Source organism: Homo sapiens, chromosome 17 (genome assembly GCF_000001405.40).
Source record: "Homo sapiens chromosome 17, GRCh38.p14 Primary Assembly".
In the NCBI taxonomy this organism is placed as follows: domain Eukaryota; kingdom Metazoa; phylum Chordata; class Mammalia; order Primates; family Hominidae; genus Homo; species Homo sapiens.
This window is the reverse complement of record NC_000017.11, coordinates 60,871,216-60,887,977: the sequence shown is the minus strand read 5'-3', so window position 1 is coordinate 60,887,977 and position 16,762 is coordinate 60,871,216. Positions and strand designations below refer to the sequence as shown.

At 37.3% G+C, this 16,762-nt stretch overlaps 1 protein-coding gene across 8 annotated transcripts in view; it reads right to left on the bottom strand.

Moving 5' to 3' along the window:
* The window catches only part of BCAS3 (BCAS3 microtubule associated cell migration factor), a 714,981-nt gene that overhangs the window by 504,854 nt on the left and 193,365 nt on the right, over positions 1–16,762 (bottom strand). For all 8 annotated transcript variants that reach the window (NM_001353144.2, NM_001353145.2, NM_001330413.2 and 5 more), the window contains exon 9: positions 13,240–13,316. In NM_001353144.2, the coding sequence (NP_001340073.1) occupies positions 13,240–13,316 (77 nt within the window). The remainder of the gene's footprint in view (positions 1–13,239; positions 13,317–16,762) is intronic.

Below are 16,762 nucleotides of genomic sequence, written 5' to 3'. Positions count from 1 at the left end.
ACATGTTTACAATTTTATTGGACAAAGAGAACTGGATGTTAAAAGAATTCATTTCCCAATTTAAATGAAGGTAAAAAATTTTTAGAAGCACACTATATTTGTCCATTACTAAAAAAGTAATTAAGAAGGTACACAAGCATGATGCAATTTTAGATGGCATCCTCCCAGAAAGTGGTCCTAATGGAGAGGTGACCTGAATTCATTTCAAAAAACAAAAAAACTGAACTGCTCTCTGTGATACTTTGCCTTATTTCTCCTGGCAAGGACAAATAAAAAGTCTGAGCCCTTTTTTTAAAGAAAACAGTTATTTACATTTATAAGTCCACTGATTTTCAACAAGAATACCAAGACAAGTCAATGGTGAAAGAAGTCTTTTCAACAAACGGTGCTGGGACTACTGGATATCCAAATGCAAAAGCATTTGGACTGGAATGAACGTGGACCCCTATCTCATACCACATACAAAAATGGATCAAAGGCTTAAATATAAAAGTTAAACAATTGAGGAGCCAAGATGGCCGAATACGAACAGCTCCAGTCTACAGCTCCCAGCGTGAGCAACGCAGAAGACGGGTGATTTCTGCATTTCCATCTGAGGTACCGGGTTCATCTCACTAGGGAGTGCCAGACAGTGGGCGCAGGTCAGTGGGTGCACGCACCGTGCACCGTGCGCGAGCCGAAGCAGGGCGAGGCATTGCCTCACCTGGGAAGCGCAAGGGGTCAGGGAGTTCCCTTTCCGAGTCAAAGAAAGGGGTGACGGACGCACCTGGAAAATCGGGTCACTCCCACCCGAATATTGCGCTTTTCAGACCGGCTTAAAAAACGGCGCACCACGAGACTATATCCCACACCTGGCTCGGAGGGTCCTACGCCCACGGAGTCTCGCTGATTGCCAGCACAGCAGTCTGAGATCAAACTGCAAGGCGGCAGCGAGGCTGGGGGAGGGGCGCCCGCCATTGCCCAGGCTTGCTTAGGTAAACAAAGCAGCCGGGAAGCTCCAACTGGGTGGAGCCCACCACAGCTCAAGGAGGCCTGCCTGCCACTGTAGGCTCCACCTCTGGGGGCAGGGCACAGACAAACAAAAAGACAGCAGTAACCTCTGCAGACTTAAATGTCCCTGTCTGACAGCTTTGAAGAGAGCAGTGGTTCTCCCAGCACGCAGCTGGAGATCTGAGAACCGGCAGACTGCCTCCTCAAGTGGGTCCCTGACTCCTGACCCCCGAGCAGCCTAACTGGGAGGCACCCCCCAGCAGGAGCACACTGACACCTCACACGGCAGGTTATTCCAACAGACCTGCAGCTGAGGGTCCTGTCTGTTAGAAGGAAAACTAACAAACAGAAAGGACATCCACACCGAAAACCCATCTGTACATCACCATCATCAAAGACCAAAAGTAGATAAAACCACAAAGATGGGGAAAAAACAGAACAGAAAAACTGGAAACTCTAAAACGCAGAGGGTCTCTCCTCCTCCAAAGGAACGCAGTTCCTCACCAGCAACGGAACAAAGGTGGATGGAGAATGACTTTGACAAGCTGAGAGAAGAAGGCTTCAGACGATCGAATTACTCTGAGCTACGGGAGGACATTCAAACCAAAGGCAAAGAAGTTGAAAACTTTGAAAAAAATTTAGAAGAATGTATAACTAGAATAACCAATACAGAGAAGTGCTTAAAGGAGCTGATGGAGCTGAAAACCAAGGCTCGAGAACTACGTGAAGAATGCAGAAGCCTCAGGAGCTGATGCGATCAACTGGAAGAAAGGGTATCAGCAATGGAAGATGAAATGAATGAAATGAAGCGAGAAGGGAAGTTTAGAGAAAAACGAATAAAAAGAAATGAGCAAAGCCTCCAAGAAATATGGGACTATGTGAAAAGACCAAATCTACGTCTGATTGGTGTACCTGAAAGTGATGGGGAGAATGGAACCAAGTTGGAAAACACTCTGCAGGATATTATCCAGGAGAACTTCCCCAATCTAGCAAGGCAGGCCAACGTTCAGATTCAGGAAATACAGAGAATGCCACAAAGATACTCCTCGAGAAGAGCAACTCCAAGACACATAATTGTCAGATTCACCAAAATTGAAATGAAGGAAAAAATGTTAAGGGCAGCCAGAGAGAAAGGTCGGGTTACCCTCAAAGGGAAGCCCATCAGACTAACAGCAGATCTCTCGGCAGAAACCCTACAAGCCAGAAGAGAGAGGGGGCCAATATTCAACATTCTTAAAGAAAAGAATTTTCAACCCAGAATTTCATATCCAGCCAAACTAAGCTTCATAAGTGAAGGAGAAATAAAATACTTTACAGACAAGCAAATGCTGAGAGATTTTGTCACCACCAGGCCTGCCCTAAAAGAGCTCCTGAAGGAAGCGCTAAACATGGAAAGGAACAACCAGTACCAGCTGCTGCAAAATCATGCCAAAATGTAAAGACCATCGAGACTAGGAAGAAACTGCATCAACTAACGAGCAAAATCACCAGCTAACGTCATAATGACAGGATCAAATTCACACATAACAATATTAACTTTAAATGTAAATGGACTAAATTCTCCAATTAAAAGACACAGACTGGCAAATTGGATAAAGAGTCAAGACCCATCAGTGTGCTGTATTCAGGAAACCCATCTCACGTGCAGAGACACACATAGGCTCAAAATAAAAGGATGGAGGAAGATCTACCAAGCAAATGGAAAACAAAAAAAGGCAGGGATTGCAATCCTAGTCTCTGATAAAACAGACTTTAAACCAACAAAGATCAAAAGAGACAAAGAAGGCCATTACATAATGGTAAAGGGATCAATTCAACAAGAAGAGCTAACTATCCTAAATATATATGCACCCAATACAGGAGCACCCAGATTCATAAAGCAAGTCCTGAGTGACCTACAAAGAGACTTAGACTCCCACGCATTAATAATGGGAGACTTTAACACCCCACTGTCAACATTAGACAGATCAACGAGACAGAAAGTCAACAAGGATACCCAGGAATTGAACTCAGCTCTGCACCAAGCGGACCTAATAGACATCTACAGAACTCTCCACCCCAAATCAACAGAATATACATTTTTTTCAGCACCACACCACACCTATTCCACAATTGACCACATAGTTGGAAGTAAAGCTCTCCTCAGCAAATGTAAAAGAACAGAAATTATAACAAACTATCTCTCAGACCACAGTGCAATCAAACTAGAACTCAGGATTAAGAATCTCACTCAAAGCCACTCAACTACATGGAAACTGAACAACCTACTCCTGAATGACTACTGGGTACATAACGAAATGAAGGCAGAAATAAAGATGTTCTTTGAAACCAACGAGAACAAAGACACAACATACCAGAATCTCTGGGACGCATTCAAAGCAGTGTGTAGAGGGAAATTTATAGCACTAAATGCCCACAAGAGAAAGCAGGAAAGATCCAAAATAGACACCCTAACATCACAATGAAAAGAACTAGAAAAGCAAGAGCAAACACATTCAAAAGCTAGCAGAAGGCAAGAAATAACTAAAATCAGAGCAGAACTGAAGGAAATAGAGACACAAAAAACCCTTCAAAAAATCAATGAATCCAGGAGCTGGTTTTTTGAAAGGATCAACAAAATTGATAGACCGCTAGCAAGACTAATAAAGAAAAAAAGAGAGAAGAATCAAATAGACACAATAAAAAATGATAAAGGGGATATCACCACCGATCCCACAGAAATACAAACTACCATCAGAGAATACTACAAACACCTCTACGCAAATAAACTAGAAAATCTAGAAGAAATGGATAAATTCCTCGACACATACACTCTCCCAAGACTAAACCAGGAAGAAGTTGAATCTCTGAATAGACCAATAACAGGAGCTGAAATTGTGGCAATAATCAATAGTTTACCAACCAAAAAGAGTCCAGGACCAGATGGATTCACAGCCGAATTCTACCAGAGGTACAAGGAAGAACTGGTACCATTCCTTCTGAAACTATTCCAATCAATAGAAAAAGAGGGAATCCTCCCTAACTCATTTTATGAGGCCAGCGTCATTCTGATACCAAAGCCGGGCAGAGACACAACCAAAAAAGAGAATTTTAGACCAATATCCTTGATGAACATTGATGCAAAAATCCTCAATAAAATACTGGCAAACCGAATCCAGCAGCACATCAAAAAGCTTATCCACCATGATCAAGTGGGCTTCATCCCTGGGATGCAAGGCTGGTTCAATATACGCAAATCAATAAATGTAATCCAGCATATAAACAGAGCCAAAGACAAAAACCACATGATTATCTCAATAGATGCAGAAAAAGCCTTTGACAAAATTCAACAACCCTTCATGCTAAAAACTCTCAAGAAATTAGGTATTGATGGGACGTATTTCAAAATAATAAGAGCTATCTATGACAAACCCACAGCCAATATCATACTGAATGGGCAAAAACTGGAAGCATTCCCTTTGAAAACTGGCACAAGACAGGGATGCCCTCTCTCACCACTCCTATTCAACATAGTGTTGGAAGTTCTGGCCAGGGCAATTAGGCAAGAGAAGGAAATAAAGGGTATCCAATTAGGAAAAGAGGAAGTCAAATTGTCCCTGTTTGCAGACGACATGATTGTATATCTAGAAAACCCCATTGTCTCAGCCCAAAATCTCCTTAAGCTGATAAGCAACTTCAGCAAAGTCTCAGGATACAAAATCAATGTACCAAAATCACAAGCATTCTTATACACCAACAACAGACAAACAGAGAGCCAAATCATGAGTGAACTCCCATTCACAATTGCTTCAAAGAGAATAAAATACCTAGGAATACAACTTACAAGGGATGTGAAGGACCTCTTCAAGGAGAACTACAAACCACTGCTCAAGGAAATAAAAGAGGATACAAACAAATGGAAGAACATTTCATGCTCATGGGTAGGAAGAATCAATATCGTGAAAATGGCCATACTGCCCAAGGTAATTTACAGATTCAATGCCATCCCCATCAAGCTACCAATGACTTTCTTCACAGAATTGGAAAAAACTACTTTAAAGTTCATATGGAACCAAAAAAGAGCCCGCATTGCCAAGTCAATCCTAAGCCAAAAGAACAAAGCTGGAGGCATCACACTACCTGACTTCAAACTATACTACAAGGCTACAGTAACCAAAACAGCATGGTACTGGTACCAAAACAGAGATATAGATCAATGGAACAGAACAGAGCCCTCAGAAATAATGCCACATACCTACAACTATCTGATCTTTGACAAACCTGACAAAAACAAGCAATGGGGAAAGGATTCCCTATTTAATAAATGGTGCTGGGAAAACTGGCTAGCCATATGTAGGAAGCTGAAACTGGATCCCTTCCTTACACCTTATACAAAAATCAATTCAAGATAGATTAAAGATTTAAACATTAGACCTAAAACCATAAAAACCCTAGAAGAGAACCTAGGCATGACCATTCAGGACATAGGCATGGGCAAGGACTTCATGTCCAAAACACCAAAAGCAATGGCAACAAAAGACAAAATTGACAAATGGGATCTAATTAAACTAAAGAGCTTCTGCACAGCAAAAGAAACTACCGTCAGAGTGAACAGGCCACCTACAAAATGGGAGAAAATTTTCGCAACCTACTCATCTGACAAAGGGCTAATATCCAGAATCTACAATGAACTCAAACAAATTTACAAGAAAAAAACAAACAACCCCATCAAAAAGTGGGCAAAGGACATGAACAGACACTTCTCAAAAGAAGACATTTATGCAGCCAAAAAACACATGGAAAAATGCTCATCATCATTGGCCATCAGAGAAATGCAAATTAAAACCACAATGAGATACCATCTCACACCAGTTAGAATGGCAATCATTAAAAAGTCAGGAAACAACAGGTGCTGGAGAGGATGTGGAGAAATAGGAACACTTTTACACTGTTGGTGGGACTGTAAACTAGTTCATCCATTGTGGAAGTCAGTGTGGCGATTCCTCAGGGATCTAGAACTAGAAATACCATTTTACCCAGCCATCCCATTACTGGGTATATACCCAAAGCACTATAAATCATGCTGCTATAAAGACACATGCACACGTATGTTTATTGCGGCATTATTCACAATAGCAAAGACTTGGAACCAACCCAAATGTCCAACAATGATAGACTGGATTAAGAAAATGTGGCACATATACACCATGGAATACTATGCAGCCATAAAAAATGATGAGTTCATGTCCTTTGTAGGGACATAGATGAAATTGGAAATCATCATTCTCAGTAAACTATCGCAAGACCAAAAAACCAAACACCGCATATTCTCACTCATAGGTGGGAATTGAACAATGAGATCACATGGACACAGGAAGGGGAATATCACACTCTGGGGACTGTGGTGGGGTGGGGGGAGGGGGGAGGGATAGCACTGCGAGATATACCTAATGCTAGATGACGAGTTAGTGGGTGCAGCGCACCAGCATGGCACATGTATACATATGTAACTAACCTGCACAATGTGCACATGTACCCTAAAACTTAAAGTATAATAAAAAAAAAAAAGTTAAACAATTAAATTCTTAGAATGAAATACTGTAAATTTTCATGACCTTGGATTGGGCAATGGTTTCTTATATAGGACAAAAGAAAAATACATAAATTGGACTTCATCAAAACAAATGCAAATTTAACATGCTTTAAAAGACACCATAAAGAAAGTGAAAAGACCAGGCCAGGTGCGGTGGCTCACGCCTGTAATCCCAGCACTTTGGGAGGCCGAGGTGGGCGGATCACAAGGTCAGGAGATCGAGACCATCCTGGCTAACACAGTGAAATCCCATCTCTACTAAAAATACAAAAAATTAGCAGGGTGTGGTGGCGGGCGCCTGTAGTCCCAGCTACTCGGGAAGCTGAGGCAGGAGAATGGCGTGAACCCAGGAGGCGGAGCTTGCAGTGAGCTGAGATCGCACCACTGCACTCCAGCCTGGGTGACAGAGCGAGACTCCGTCTCAAAAACAAACAAACAAACAAAACAAAACAAAACAAAAAAAAGAAGAAAGTGAAAAGACAATCTAAAGAATGAGGGAACATTTTTTGCAAAAAGATATATCTGATAAGTGACATATCTAGAATATAAAATATTACCACTCAGTATTGAAAAGACAAATAATTTAAAAATGGACAGAGATATACAAATGGCAAATAAGCACATTAAAAATGGTCAGTGTCATTAGCCATCAGGGAAATTCAAATTTCAAAATTACAAAAACTTGTAGCTAAATGTTCATACCCAAGAGAACATATGTCCACTGAAAAACTTGTGCACTAGTGTCCATACAAGCATTATCTACAACAGCCCAAAAGTAGAAACAAACTAAATATCTGTCAACTAACGATCAGATAAAATGTGGCATATGGCTAGGCGCGGTGGCTCACGCCTGTAATCCCAGGACTTTCGGAGGCCAAGGAGGACGGATCATGAGGTCAAGAGATCAAGACCATCCTGGCCCACATGGTGAAACCCTGTCTCTACTAAAAAATATAAAAATTAGCTGGGTGTGGTGGCATGCGCCTGTAATCCCAGCTACTTGAGAGGCTGAGGCAGGAGAATCACTTGAAGCCGGGAGATGGAGGCTGCAGTGAGCCGAGACTGTGCCACAGCACTCCAGCCTGGCGACAGAGCGAGACTCCATCTCAAAAAAACACAAACAACAACAACAATAAAAAAAAAAAAGTGAACATCCTCCCCAGAAAAACACATAAGCATATAAAACATTAAATACCATTTCACAGATGTGTTTAACCATCATACAGCTGATTAAGGACTCTCATAAGGTTTTATGAGTTTTTAGTTTAAAATGAATTTCATGAGTACTGCCATTCTAAGACTCAATGGGTGAGAATTGTGTGCAGAGAATGAAAAAGTCACAAGTTAGTTCACTGCATATATATTCACTGAGTGTCCACTATGATTCCAGCACCAGCACATGCCCTAAAAACATCATAGTAACCTTTTCCATCTTATGGAGAACTCAGAAAAACAAAGATAGGTTTAACTTTTAATGTAAGCTGAACTTAGAACTCACACTAACCTATCAATGAATTCTCATAAATATTACAAACTTGTTTCTTCACATAAAAGCAGAGCTCCTCTTTCAAAACTTAAAGATAATTTTGCATTTTAAAGTAAACTTTGCATTTCCATTTGTTCTATTTGTTATTAATCATTAACATAAATGAAGAACACATTAAAACCAAGAAATAACACTAAGATTATAAGAAATAAGTTTTCTCCTCCAAGTAAAAACAGAGGCCAATGGAACAAGATTGCTTACTGTACACTCCTTTGATCTCTCTGGAGACTTCATATCTACCTTTCAATTTAAGAACACTGAAAATGACTGCTAATGACATCTATCGGTCTTTGTCTTTTGTTTTCCTAATCATACACGGGTTTTGGATTTCCACATCAGACAGCTGCTCAAGGCGACTTTTTCTTTATATCCAAATACAAAGGTGTCTCCTTTCTCATCATATTGGATGCGTTCCATTAACAGTCCTCTATCAGCTCTCTTTACCTGTTCCTTCCACCCTTTGGCACAAATTCCCATGATGCTTGCTCTGATGGACACAGCTGTCTCTACTTATTTTACAGTCCCTTCATTGTATTCACATATAACCAATGCACTAAAAAGGTATTATACAAAACCTTTTCAAACTATTTTAGAAGATAACTGCTTGCATGATCAAAACAACAACCTCATTAAGTGGAGATCTTGTCATTCAACATGGGCTATGGTCCTACCTTAAGAACTAGGTACCAATAAATGTAGAAAAACTATGTGCTACAGGCAAATGAACTACCACAAATGCTATCTCAGTATGCCCTGTCCCACCTGCTCCCTACATCCCAGTATCCTATCCTCCAGTCTCTATATCCTATACCTTTCAGTCTAACAGGCAAAACCAGCTTACAGGCATGGGATTCACCTGACAAAAGTTTCAGTCTGTATAAAGGAACAGGGAGAAGGGGAGAAACTGGAGGAAAATAAGATTCTTTCTACTTATGAAGTGGCACCCTTTGTTCCTTAATTTTAAAAATCTGGTCATGGTAAATTTTGTTCTAAATATTGATATAAATCACTTTAGAGGAAGCTGTAATTTCAAAGAAAATCGGCCAAATTCCTTCATTCAAATATTTACAGAATATCATCAATCTTACCAACCTAAAATCATATGTCATATGCATAAATTTGACCCCTAGGGTTTTCAAGAAAAATAATTTGTAACTAAGAATGACATACTTCCTCACAGAAATATGAAATAAAATACATTACCACTATTGGTAAGGGTATTTGTAGATGAACAGGTAAGGGGGACCTGTGGTGAAATGCTACATCAAACTGTATCCAGAGTATGAAGAAAGAAATCACAAACATATGTTACTGTTGCTTTCTGAACTTTTTCATATTAAGTGCATGTTGAAATATAATATACATGCAGCATTACCCAAATCAACAAAGTGTACACATATTGAACACATAAATAACAACCAGACAAAAAAAGGACATTATAGATTCCCCAAAGCACATTCTTACACTCCCTTTCAGTCCCTATTCTTCCCAAGACATGCACCATCCTACCTTCTGACAACTATATTAAAATTAAGAACATCTTTCCTCAAAGACATTACTGGCCGGGCATGGAGGCTCATGCCTGTAATTCCAGAACTTTAGAAGGCCAAGGCGGGCAGATCACCTGAGCTCAGGAGTTCGAGACCAGCCTGGACAACATGGTAAAACCCCATCTCTACTAAAAATACAAAAATTAGCCGGGCGTGGTGGTGCCTGCCTGTAGTCCCAGCTACTTGGGAAGCTGAGGCAGGAGAACTGCTTGAGCCCAAGAGGTGGAGGCTGCAGTGAGCCAAGAACATGCCACTGCACTCCAGCCTGGGCAAAAGAGTGAGACTCCATCTCAAAAAAAAAAAAAAGAAAAAAAAAGACATTACTGGGCTTATATACATAGTTAATTACACTTATTTCCAACATTTATTCCCAGAAATGACAGAATGTACTTTTATTTACTACTTTTTTCAATATTTTAACCATTTAAGTAACATACATTTCAGATTTTATGAAATCCACACTAAATAGATTTTAAGGAATGCCCAACCCATGACAGCCAGTATGCAAACATTACTCTGAGAGAATAAGTGATAATCTTTGTGGGTCAGGAATTACTAAAAATTCATCACTGTGGACCTCCAGCCACTTGACCAGGACTTAACTAAAAGCTGCATTTCACTTTTAAAGTACCTTCTACAGTACCACAAACACTGTTGATCCCTCTAGATCTCTTCTTCCTGTAGTGAAGAATTCACAGAATACAAAAGAGACTAATGCTTTAACAAAACTTGTTTCATCTATTCAGTGGTCCAGCAATTCAGGTGGAAGTATTCAGGAATACATGGCAAAGATGTCCCAAAAAGACATTAAAGAAAAAGGAAAGCATGAAAGGCATTAAGAAAGAGTGCTAACAACTCAGTCTCCTGTTCACTTTTATCAAATTTGACTTATGTTTTGTGCTTACTAAAAGTCTGCAGAACAGAAGATCCCATTTTCAAAGGGGAAATCCTTTAGAGATAGACAGGAGAGATACTGCAGATACGAGAGAGATACTCAAGAGGTGACGCCTATGAAGACATAATTTTCTAACAAACTCATCCTTTCCAAAATTTCTGGATTTACCCCAATGTGACTTGTAAGATAGAAATTTCATTCATCTATGCATATATATGTATATATGTGTGTGTATATATATATATATATATCATTTCTTAAAATATTCACCACTTACTTTTAATTTCCAACTCAGACCTATAAAGATCTGTACTGATCCTATATAAATAATTTTCTTCATCTGATAACTGTTGACAGAGAAGCACTACATTTTCAGACATACTGTTATCACAAACATTTTCATTAACTAAACATTCTGAAAAAGAACCACTTGTGCTTTGAAACCGAACATAATTTTGATAAATGTATTCATCTTTAGTGAACTGGGTTTTATTATTAAGAGAACAAAAAAAATCATTAATATTTTTATGTTGGCAAGGACATGATAGACACATTATGCCTTCCATGGTAAAACTTTATTTCCTCAATCCAAAACAAACTGAGTAACTTTTCTCTCAATGAGAATACTGTCTAGCGGCAAACAGATAGAAAATGTATACAAGATAGAATGTAAGTGCCTCAAGAGAGGCAGAGATGACATACTACAAAAGCATTCCAAAACGGTGTTGGTTAACAAATGAGGTCTGTTATCAAATAAATATGGGAAATTAAGAAATGTATCAAATAAATTTAAACAGACAAAATACTAATCATCATTGCTAGTCTCAACAGAAGGCAGCATTTCCTAAGCATATTTGACCAGGGCATCCTGATTTGCAAAGTATGTTGAAAATCTAATGTTCTACAAACAGACAGTGGGAAATGTTATCTTTAAGGGATTTAGAAGGAGAAGTTTCTGTAAGCTAAAGGGGTCAAGAAAGATTTCATATAAGAATTACTATCTACACTGGGCCCAGAAAGATATATAGGATTAAAACATCATAAAGAGAAGGGGTATTAGTGAAAAGGCCATTCTGGTCACGAAGACAAAGGAAAAATGTACCTCCAACAGAATGAGAATAATGAGAGGTTCAAATTAAATGGGACATAAGAAGCATGAAAATTAAGTTGTAGAAAAGATTTAGCAAGGACACTAAACTTTCATAAAGAAGGTTTTGGTGTATCAAAAACCTTGGGAGTTTCATTGGTAGTAAATGGACAAGATAACTATATATCTGTGTTCGCTCAGGACTTTACAAGTTTACATATATTGATCAGAGTTAAGTCCAGTATGGCAACTGTGCAAATCAAAAGACTGCAGTTTGGATGATAATTATATAATCACTTGGTAATTTTTCAAAGTTCTTATCTTTCAGACGTAGATAATAAATATGTACAAATTAAATTCTATAATGTCTGCAATATGCTTCAAAATAATTGGGGAAGGGGTATAAATGAAAAAGACTGTCCATTATTTGATAGTTGTTGAAACTAGATAATAAATGCGTGGGTGTTCATCATACTACTACTCTAATTATATATATGTATATATTTCCCAAAATAAAAAGTTATTGTTTATGGCCTTTACAGGAAAAGAAATGGCATGTCTGTGGCACTAGAAATTTAATTAAGATACAATATTTTTGCCACAGCACTATATTATTACATGTTTACATAATAGGCCAAATTATTGAAAATTGAAGACATTTGTATATTTAAGATACATTTAACCATTTTAAGATGACTAAAAACACATTTTTTCTGCAAGAACTTTCAATTTCAAATAGCAATAAAAACTAAGAATACATACACTATTCTCTCTTCTAAGTAAAAGGTTTTTTCACTCTTTTCTCTGTCATATATGGTTTAAATTGAGAAATTATAGTAAAATTGGTAATACGAAACTGCTAAATTGCTTTCTTTGAAAATGTGCCAACTTCTATACTGATTCTGCCAATATATTTTCCAAGGCTTTATGTGTTTACATTTTTTTCCATCATACAGAAAATCTGTAAGTTGACCCAAATGAGGACTTACCACAAATTCTCCTATTAGAAAATCTCAAGCTGCCAAATACTCCCACAGAAAAGCTGCAAATATTATCAATTTACAAAAACAAACAAAAGTTTTAAAGGAAATTGTGCTTACAGCTTTATAAGTACATAAGTTTATTTAACAGTATTGAAGATTTTTGAACACTCTTTTAAAATATAAGTCCTTATTCGAAAAATATATTTTTTTCACCTTTTGGTTAAATGACAGATACTAATGTTAGTAGAAACAAATTTTGCTCATATGTAAAGGTATAATGTATAAAAGTACGGTATGTTAAGCAATTTAACAACTGCTTTGAAAGTATGAAACAGCTATATGAAACTAAATCACAAACTCAAGGATAGTATGTAAGGAGAAAGTGAGGTAACCCACAACAAAGCTTGCTTAGTAATATAAAGAAAATGTGTTGGAAAGTTGAAAATATATATCATACAAGAATATTACTCAATGAGAATAGCCACAGAATCACAAGAAAATCATCAAAATTGAAAACATTAAGTACTGTTGAGAAAATTACAGTTAGTTTGCTGATTGTGTCAAGTAAGTAGTATAAACCCAAAGGCATAAGAAGGGAAAAAAAATTGGTACATACTTGTAACAAAGAATTTCTTCGTGAAAGTACAGCTATCAAAGGCAGCAATTTTCTCCTGCAAGACTACGACAAGGATCCTAAAATTAGAGAGAGAAAAAAAACAGAAAGAAAAAAAGTGAATGTGAAATTCTGTAAGTGGAATCAGAAATGCATTATATCATCTAGATGAAAACAAGTGCCTACTAATACAATTTTAAAATTAAACATTTCCTATAATATTTAGGCTAGAAACTTCTGCCTCTTAAAATGTGTAAAAATATAAACCACAAAATCCTATATATAAATAAGATAGAGATGACTAGAAGAAAAGTGATGGAAGAAAAAACTACCACCTCAAAAAATGTTTGTCTTTTAATAGTTTTGTTTCAGCCAGGCATGGTGGCTCATGCCTACAATCCCAACATTCCTGGAGGCCAAGGCAGAAGGATCACTTGAGCCCAGGAGGTTGAGACCAGCCTGGGCAACAAAGGAAGACCCTGTCTCTATAAGAAATAATACAAATAAACTAGCCAGGTGTGGTGGTGTGAGCCTGTAGTCCTAGTTACTCAGGAGGCTGAGGCAGGAGGATCACTTGAGCCCAGGAGGTCAAGACTGCAGGGAGCTACGATCACACCACTGCACGCCAGCCTGGGCAACAGCAAGATCTTGTCTCTAAAAATATGAATACACAAAGTAAAGTTTTGTTTTCATTTATTTTTGAATCGAATAAGTCTACAGTAAAGATGGATAAGATCAAGCCCAGCACAGTGTTGCACACCCGTAATCCCAGCTACTCAAGAGGCTGAGGCAGGAGAATCACTTGAGCCCAGGAGATTGAGACCAGCCTAGGCAACATAGTGAGATCCTGTCTCAAAAGGAAATGAAAAAAAAAGAATGGAGAAGATAATAAATTGTTGGCTATCTACTAAAGTGTTTTTCCAGTGATGTTTTAGTCATGGTATTAAAGATAAAATGGATTTATGTAACCCATCACTTTAAGTTTAAATGGCGGATGAATTTCCCAACTGCTACTCATAAATATAAGTCATTTCTGATTGACTCAATATAGTAAAATTCACTAACAATCTGTAAAAGCAGTATTTTTCTCAATGCCCAAGATTTACAGATAATTAGAAAATAATTTAGTTATAAACACTTTTTTAAAGCAAAATTCCTAAAATACATCCAAAGCCACCACTTTATATTGTGCTATCCTTGCAGCATATTAATATAAATAGCCAAGCTTAATATTTACTTCAAAAAATCAAATAGAGATTATAATTGTTACTAAATATTTAACAAACTAATAGCTTATTTTTCAAAATTGGAAGCTGGTAAATCTGAGCAACAGATGCTAATATGAGTATAAAAAAAGGAAAATGTATTATTTCATATGCATGCTTTATTAATTTTGTTCATCTTTAAAAACAACAATTTCATTTACTGATGCAGAATAATTCTAATGAGTGACTACTGTTAGATCCTTGCAATTTTTTTTTCTAGCTGGGCCTGTTAAAAACTTTTCTCTATATATTTTACTGGGTTGCTTCTTACTAATAAGTGATAATTTGCTATATATGTGTATGTGTACTCTGAATACACAAAAAGGTAGAGATAATATCCTTATAAAGGTGATAATATCAAATTTTAGAATTACTCAATTGTAAATTCCATTTCTGTTCTGTTACTATACTAAAGCCTCAGACCACCTTGCCTACATGTTATATCAACTTAATACCCTTTTAATGCCCTGATAGAAGAAAAGGCATTTCCATATCTAATTACCAATGTCTGTACTATTCCTCTACACACAGCGTTTGACAGAAAATATCAAATAATGAAACACACACACAGCCACAAAAATGCACCATTATTAAGAGTCAATGGAACCAAAGAGAAAGTACTTATGGGGTGTGTGTGTGTGTATGTGTGTATATACATACAGATATATACATACAGATATACACATACAGATATATATGGGGTGTGTGTGTGTATGTGTGTATATACATACAGATATATATGAGGTATGTGTGTGTATATGTGTATATACATACATAGATATATATGGTGTATGTGTGTGTATGTGTGTATATACATACAGATAGATATCGGGGTGTGTGTGTATGTGTGTATATACATAAAAATAGATATGGGGTGTGTGTCCATGTGTGTATATACATACAGATATATATGGGGGTGTGTGTATATACATACAGATATACACATACAGATATATATGGGGTGTGTATGTGTGTATATATACATACAGATATATACATACAGATATATATGGGGTGTGTGTGTATGTGTATATATACATACAGATATATACATACAGATATATATGGGGTATGTGTGTGTATGTGTGTATATACATACAGATATATACATTCAGATATATATGGGGTGTGTGTATGTGTGCATATACATACAGATATACATATAAGTACATATACACACATACACATGCACATATTATATACACACACTATATACACATACACGCATATAATATTCTCATTCCTTCTCATAATTTATTTTATAAACATAGAATATTTAAAACTAGAAACTGTCAGACTGGATAATGATACCATATTATGTCTACACCAACAAATTCAAACACACAACTAGCTTAAAACTGAAAAATGGAAAAATACATACCATACGTATAGTAACAAAAGAGCTGAAATGGATATATTATTATCAGATAAACATTAAGAACAAGAATATCACTATTAACAAAGGATGGTTCATAAAGGGTCATAATAACCATAAATGTATGTTAACCCAATGACAGAAACTCAAAAGATTTAAGAAAAATAGAATAACAATCCTACACAAATTATCATAGAAAATTCCAAAAAAAGAAATACCTTCCTAAGGGTCTAATGAATGAAACAAAAAAACAGACAAGGCATAATAAGAAAAAGAAAATATACATGAATCTCCCTCATGAACATAGCTGCAAAAATTAAATCCAGGAATATATAAAAAGGATTATAGATAATTACCCCTAGGGTGAAACCCAGGGTGTAAGAATGGTTTAACACTGGGAAATCATCCAATTTAACAAATTGAAAAGGAAAAACATGATCGTCCTCATATTGACTTCACTAAATACAATGCCTGGTTATGCAAAAAAAAAAAAAACAAAAACAAACCAAAAAAAACCCTGGCAAACTAGAAAATAAACTGCTGAACTTGATAATCAACACATACCCCACGCTACTTCCCTATAAATAAACCTACAGCTGGAAATAAAACCAAATCTCTAGGTAGACTGATCAAGAAAATAGAGAGATTGGGCACAGTGGCTCATGCCTCTAATCCCAGCCCAAGGCAGGAGGACCACTTGAACCAGGAGTTCTAGACCAGCCTGGACAACACAGTGGGACCTTGTCTCTACAAAAAAAATGTTAAAAAAAATTAGCCAGGCGTGGTGGCACATGCCTGCAGTTCCAGCTACAGGGAGGCTGAGTCAAGAGGATTGCTTCAGCTTGGGAGTTTAAGGATGCAGTGAGCCGTGATGGTGCCACTGCAC